Source organism: Homo sapiens, chromosome 10, assembly GCF_000001405.40.
Source record: "Homo sapiens chromosome 10, GRCh38.p14 Primary Assembly".
NCBI lineage: Eukaryota > Metazoa > Chordata > Mammalia > Primates > Hominidae > Homo > Homo sapiens.
Genome location: NC_000010.11, coordinates 45,055,339 through 45,062,057, shown reverse-complemented (window position 1 = coordinate 45,062,057; position 6,719 = coordinate 45,055,339). Strand labels below are relative to the sequence as shown.

Below are 6,719 nucleotides of genomic sequence, written 5' to 3'. Positions count from 1 at the left end.
TCAGCTAGCACATTTCAGCTGGCTTAACACAACAAACCCAGAGGAAACCAACCAGCCCCAGAGGGAACTGAGCACACAGCTCTACATCCCCATGAGGGATAGTTCATACTCACTGTGGCAAGCTGCTGGAGAAGATGCAGGGAATCCGTTCCTTCTCTAGCTGAGGATTCAGATCTGACAGGTCCAATGAACCAGGATCACCCTTTCCTCCTCCCTGATCAAGTTTTTCAGAGAAACTATGAGGGAACAAAAATAAATCCCTAGAATAATCCTTCACAGACTCCTTCTCAAAATTGTAACTAATCTAAAATGAAAACCAATCAGAAAAAAGCTAAAAGTTTTACTCATTTTGGCTGAATTAGAAGAATTTGTGTTATGACCTAAATAAGAGGCTCTTCCATATTTTTTTCTTTTAAGACACTATTGAAATGAGGCTTTTAAGGCCAGGTGCGGTGGCTCATGCCTGTAATCCCAGCACTTTGGGAGGCCGAGGCTGGTGGATCATGAGATCAGGAGATCGAGACCATCTTGGCTAACATGGTGAAACCCCGTCTCTACTAAAAACATACAAAAAAAAATTCGCCATGCATGGTGGCGGGCGCCTGTAGTCCCAGCTACTCGGGAGGCTGAGGCAGGAGAATGGCGTGAACCCGGGAGGTGGAGCTTACAATGAGCCGAGATCACACCACTGCACTCCAGCCTGGGCGACAGAGCAAGACTTCGTCTCAAATAAATAAATAAATAAATAAATAAATAAATAAATAAATTAGGCTTTTAATATCTTATCCTAAAAAGCCTTGGACATATCTATAATTTATGTTATGATTTTTGAGAGGTTTCACCTGAAGGGAGCATGGAGACTATCAGCGCTCTATCGAGCTCTCCTTGAAAATGCTTTCCATTGCTAATAGAACCTCTTTTTCTTATTATTTATACAAGACCTTCTTTGATTTCCTGCTTGTGACACTTTGGAATGAAAAACTGGTGACTGCGTTAATTAAAAACAAAAATGAGATGGCTTATTTTTTTCTTTCCAGAAAATCCTAGCCAGAGTCCCTGCAAGCAGACCTCAGTGTGAGCCTGCAGTCTGCAGGGCCAAATGTTCAGGTTTCTGTCATTTGATCTAATACAAGCTTAAGTACTGATTACAATCATTTTGTTGGAGGTGTGTGTGTGTGTATGTGTGTGTGTGTGTGTGTGTGTGAGAGAGAGAGAGAGAGAGAATGACAGGGTCTCATTCTATTGCCCAGTCTGGAATGCAGTGGTGCCATAATGGCTCACTGCAGCTTTGAACTTCCCGGTAAGCGATCCTCCCACCTCAGCCTCCCAAGCACCTCAGCCTCCCAAGTAACTGGGACTACAGGCTATGCCACTAGGCCTGGCTATTTTTTCTTTCTTTCTTTTATCTTTTTTTTTTTTTTTTGAGAAGGAGTCCCGCTCTGTCACCGGGCCGGAGTGCAGTGGCACCATCTTGGCTCACAGCAGTCTCTGCCTCCCGAGCTCAAGCGATTCTCCTGCCTCAGCCTCCCGGGTAGCTGGAACTACAGGCACATGCCACCACACCCAGCTAATTTTTGTATTTTTAGTAGAGACGGGGTTTCACCATGTTGGCCAGGATGGTCTCAATCTCCTGACCTCGTGATCCACCCGCCTCAGCCTCCCAAAGTGCTGGCATTATAGGCATGAGCCACCGTGCCCAGCCGCTGTTTTCTTTTTTAATTTTTTGTAGAGATGAGATCTCACTATGTTGCCCACACTGGTCTCAAACTCCTGGCCCCAAGCGATCCTCCCGCCTCAGTGTCCTGAAGCGCTGGGATTATAGGCATGAGCCACTGTGCCCAGCAGAACCATTATTAATTGGAGAGTAAGATGAAGCCGAGCAACAGAGGCAGGTGGAGGTGGCAGTTTGATCGGCCATCTTAAAATTCAAAGAGGAAAGGAAACTTCACCTGCCTCCTTGACCTCCTACTTCCTTTCCCTCTCCTCCCCTCCCCTACCCCAATCGAATTGCATGATCAGACCTGAGAAAGAAGAGAGACTTAAAAGAGAACAGGGTGAGGACTTCTGCAGCAGCAAAATGACCAATGAAGAGCTTGTGCCCCACTTTTCACTACATGGAGGAATAGCCCAGGTGCTTGGCGGACAGCTGCAGCTGGATGCAAATCCTGAAACCAGGAGGTCCTGGCCAGGTGCGGTGACTCATGCCTATAATCTCAACACTTTGGGAGGCCAAGGCAAGAGGATCACTTGAGGCCAGGTGTTTGAGAACAGCCTGGGCAACATAGTGAGGCCCCATCTCTACAAAAAGTAGAAAAATTTGCTGGGCATGGTGGCATGCTCTGTAGTCTCAGCTATTCAGGAGGCTAAGGTGGGAGGACAGCTCAAGCCCAGGAGTTCAATGCTGCCATGAGCCACAATGGCATCACTGAACTCTAGCCTGGGCAACACAGCGAGATCCTGTCTCTACTTAAATAAATAAATAAAATAAAAGTAAGAAGTCCCATCTCTCTCAGAAAACCACCAACCAGTAAATGATAATACCCATACATGGGAGATGAACAGGAGCTTTCAGCTGTATTATCCCACACAAATCCTCCTTCAGTCAGTTCATTCAGTAGGAGACTTCTGCTGTTGCGAGGATAAGGAAATGGTCAGCTTGTGCAAGAATCCTCTGTATGAGAAAGAAAAGACACAATACCAGAATTTGGATTTTCGGTCTGAGTCAGATCTCTTTCTTACCTCTCTGACACATTTAAATGAGTAACTATCACAAAGCAAAGGAAAATAAAGAAATACTAGACTTGTTCTCTATCCTTAAAGAGCTTCCTGATCTGTCTGGGAATTCAGGGCATCATCTGGCTGTGAGTTACAGCTGTAATAGCTCAGTACAATGGCTGGGATGTTATGTAAGGGCAATGAGTTTATGCTTGCATTCTAGGGATAATCATCTCTCACCTGCTCTCTAGAATGCGCAGCCCAGAGGCGGTCAGCAGTACTTAATCAGAAAGGGCCACACATTGGGTGATACAGCTTGGCTCTGTGTCCCCACTGAAATCTCATCTTGAATGTAACCCCATGTGTTGGGGGAGGGGCCTGGTGGGAGGTGATTGGATCATGGGGGCTGATTTCCCTCTTGCTCTTCTTGTGATAGTGAGTTCTCCTGAAACCTGGTTGTTTGAAATTGTGTGGCACTTTCCCCTTCACTTCCTGCTCCGCAGTAGTAAGATGTGCTTGCTTCCCCTATTCCTCCCACATGATTGTAAATTTCCTGAGGCCTCCTAGTCATGCTTCCTGTTAAGCCTGAAGAACCATGAGTCAATTAAACCTCTTTTCTTCATATAAATTACCCAGTCTCAAGTAGTTCTGTATAGCAGTGTGAAAACAGACTAATACACTGGGGCAACAAATGTAAGTTCATCTGTTATCCTTATTGCCATCAAAAATTCATATTTTGCAAGTCAATAGGGCAGCTCCTCAAAAAATTAAAATTAAATTACCACGTGACCCAGTCATTCCACTTCTGGACATTTCCCCAAATGAGTTGAAAGCAGGGTCACAAAGAGATATTCAAACATCCATGTTCATAGCAGCTCTATTCACAATTAGCCAAAACATAGAGCAACTCAAGTGTTCATCAAAGGATGAGTGCATAAAAAAAGGTGGTATATACATGTGAAGGAATTCAGCATTAAAAAGGTAGAAAATTATAATATGTGCCACAATGTGAATGAATTTCTTTAATTCAGACAATGAAGATGGTACAGCCTAAACCCTGACTTTTGATCCTGGTATTGTTTTTGGTTAAGCTGTTGTTTTTGATGGTAGACATCAGGTCCATTTTTCTCTTAAAACTATTTTGTGTTTACCATAGTAAAATTATGTTTCTAATCCATCTAAAAGCTGCATGAAATTATTTAGATCTGGAGGAAGAAGGGGGCTAGAAAAAGCCTCGTCTCACACCTCTTGGGATGAACCTTGAGGACATTATGCCAAGTAAAGTGGGACAATCACAAAAGGCCAAGTATTGTCTGATTCCACTTAATGAAGTAGTGAAAATCATCAACTTTATAGACAGAAAGTAGAATGATGATTGCCAGGGGTTCGGGGGAGGAGAGAATGGGCAGTTACTATTTAATAGGGACAGAGTTTCCATTTTGCAAGATGAAAAGAGTTCTGAAGATAGATGGTGGTGATGGTTGCACAACAATGTGAATGTATTCAATGCTATTAAACTGTATACTTACAATGATTAAGATGGTACATTTTCCAGCCTGGCCAACAGGGCATAACCACATCTCTACTAAAAATGCAAAAATTAGCTGGGCATGGTGGTGTGTGCCTGTAGTCCCAGCTACTCGGGAGGCTGAGGCACGAGAATCACTTGAACCCAGGAGGTGGAGGCTGCAGTGAGCCAAGATTGCACCACTGCACTCCAGCCTGGACAACAGCATAAGACTCTGTCTCAAACAAAACAAAACAAAACAAAACAAAAAGATGGTAAATTTTATGTTTCATATATTTAACCAGAATTTAAAAAATAACAATAGATAAATTTATAAAAAATTGTTTTAATGTTTTGCAAATGAACATATTGAATGTCAAAAATGGGTTTTCATTAGTGAAACAAGTAACTTTCAAGTAGCATAATTAATATTAGAAAATGACTTTCATTGGTGAAATGAAATGTAGTCAGAGCATGTGGATTCACTAAAATTGTCATTGCTCCCCAGCCTTACATGAACCGGGCATAGAAGAGCATTCAGCCAGTGCTGGGTACTCCAAGGACAGCACTCGAGGTCTGATCCCTGGGCAGAGCACAGTGTAGTCAGTGATGTTTGTAGAGATGGGATCTCATCATGTTGCCCAGGCTGATCTGGAACTCCTGGCCTCAAGCAATCCTCCCGCCTCAGCCTCCTGAGCTAGGATCAATCCATTGTTGAAGAGTACATGGATGTTACTTTGCAGACTGTCAACCTGAATTTGTGTTTGCTTGACATTGCCTAATTATTAGTTTCAGTTTCAGCTTACCCACTTTCTGTCAGCAATATGCAGAAGAGACTGTGCCCTTTTTAGTGTATCATATCAGGAAGCATCTCATGTTGGTTTGTGCCATTACTGGTGCAGTGACTTTCAGCCACTTGGTTAAGGTGGAGTTGGCCATATTTCTTCACTGCAAAATTACTGATTTTCCTTTTGTAATTAATAAGTGTGTTTGAGAAGATTCTTCAAGATGAGGTATATATCTCATTCTTCATCGAACTATAAGGTTTTTTTTAAGTGAAAGAAAATTTATTAAGAAACTAAAGGAATAAAAGAATGGCTACTCCATAGGCAGAGCAGTGTCACTTTAAGGTTTTGATGTCAACTGATTTTTATCCAAATCAATAATTACTGCAATGATTGAAAAATGATTATTACTAAGTTTATTTTCATTGTCTCAAAGTCTGCCGAACTCTGGATCCAGGCTGTGTCAATAGGGTAGTGTGGTGCCTCCTGTACCTGTCTCGGCCTCCTACAGTCCTTTTTATTTATTTTGTTTTTTATAATAGAGACAGGGTCTTACTATGCTGCCCAGACTGGTTTCAAACTCCTGGGCTCAAGCAATCTTCCTGCCTCAGCCTCCCAAAGTGCTGAGATTACAAGCGTGAGCCACCACACCCGGCCAAGTCCTTTACCATTTTCAGAAGGCTTACCTTGCACTTTCAGCAGAAGGATAGACTCCAGGAAGACTGTGAGAGAGATTTAGGGCCCAAGTTGATAATATCAAATACACTGAACTTGACTGTGTTCACCATGTTCTGGCTCTAGAGAAATGAGAGTGCTAGTGAGGTTGGTGCCATTTTGTGTATCTTCTGTACCTTGAAGTCCCTCAGAAATCTTGCCCCTGGTCTTCTTGTTCTAAGGACATAACAGGTTCCCTTTTCTCTGGAGATGAAATCTAGATCTTCAATTTTTGGAGCCAAATTTGGACTCTTGACTCTGGAGCACCAATTTCTTCAGCAAGTTGTTCTCTGGAATCAATCCCAGGGTATGGATTTTTCATAAATGCCTTGATGAGAGTGTGTAATTGAGAGGCGCTGTAGGTGGTATGACACCGTCTGGCTTCTCTACTTTGAAATTCCACCCCAGGTTGATCTTGCCCATGGCTCTGGCTTGAATCTAAAGTCTCAGGTTCTGGTCTTTTCTGGAATCCATTCCTAGCTCTTTGATTCTGAAACCAAATCTGGATTCTGTACTTTTCTGTATTGATTTCTAAAGCAAGTTTTTGTTTGGTAGCATAATCTGGGTAAGGTTTTTGATTGAAGGTATTGATAAGGATTTTCAATTGATCTTCTGTGAATTTGGTGTGATTGCTCCTGCGATTTGTGGCTACCATCTTGTGTGAAGAGGTGTCTTTAGCCATGCTGGAAGAGAGTCCTAGAGGCTGAGCTACTGTCTGGGAGACCGCTTACAGCTCATTTTTAAAAAGAAAGATTGCATATAATACAACATAATTCACAAATCTAAAGCATATGATTTTCTGGGTTTTGACAAATGAAAACACCTGTGCAACTTCAACCTTACCAGGATATGGATGAGAGTTTCTACCCAAAAGCACCAGTATTCTAACAAACAGCTTTGGATTTTTTGAATTGTTCAGTGCCTATGAGGATTCCTTACTCCAAATTTATGACAAATATATTCAGAAGGCATAGTCTATAATTAGTGTTTGGGTAAGT

The 6,719-nt window shown here is 42.4% G+C and overlaps 1 pseudogene; it reads right to left on the bottom strand.

The window, feature by feature from the left end:
- Positions 5,401-6,445, bottom strand: DUXAP4 (double homeobox A pseudogene 4; annotated as a pseudogene).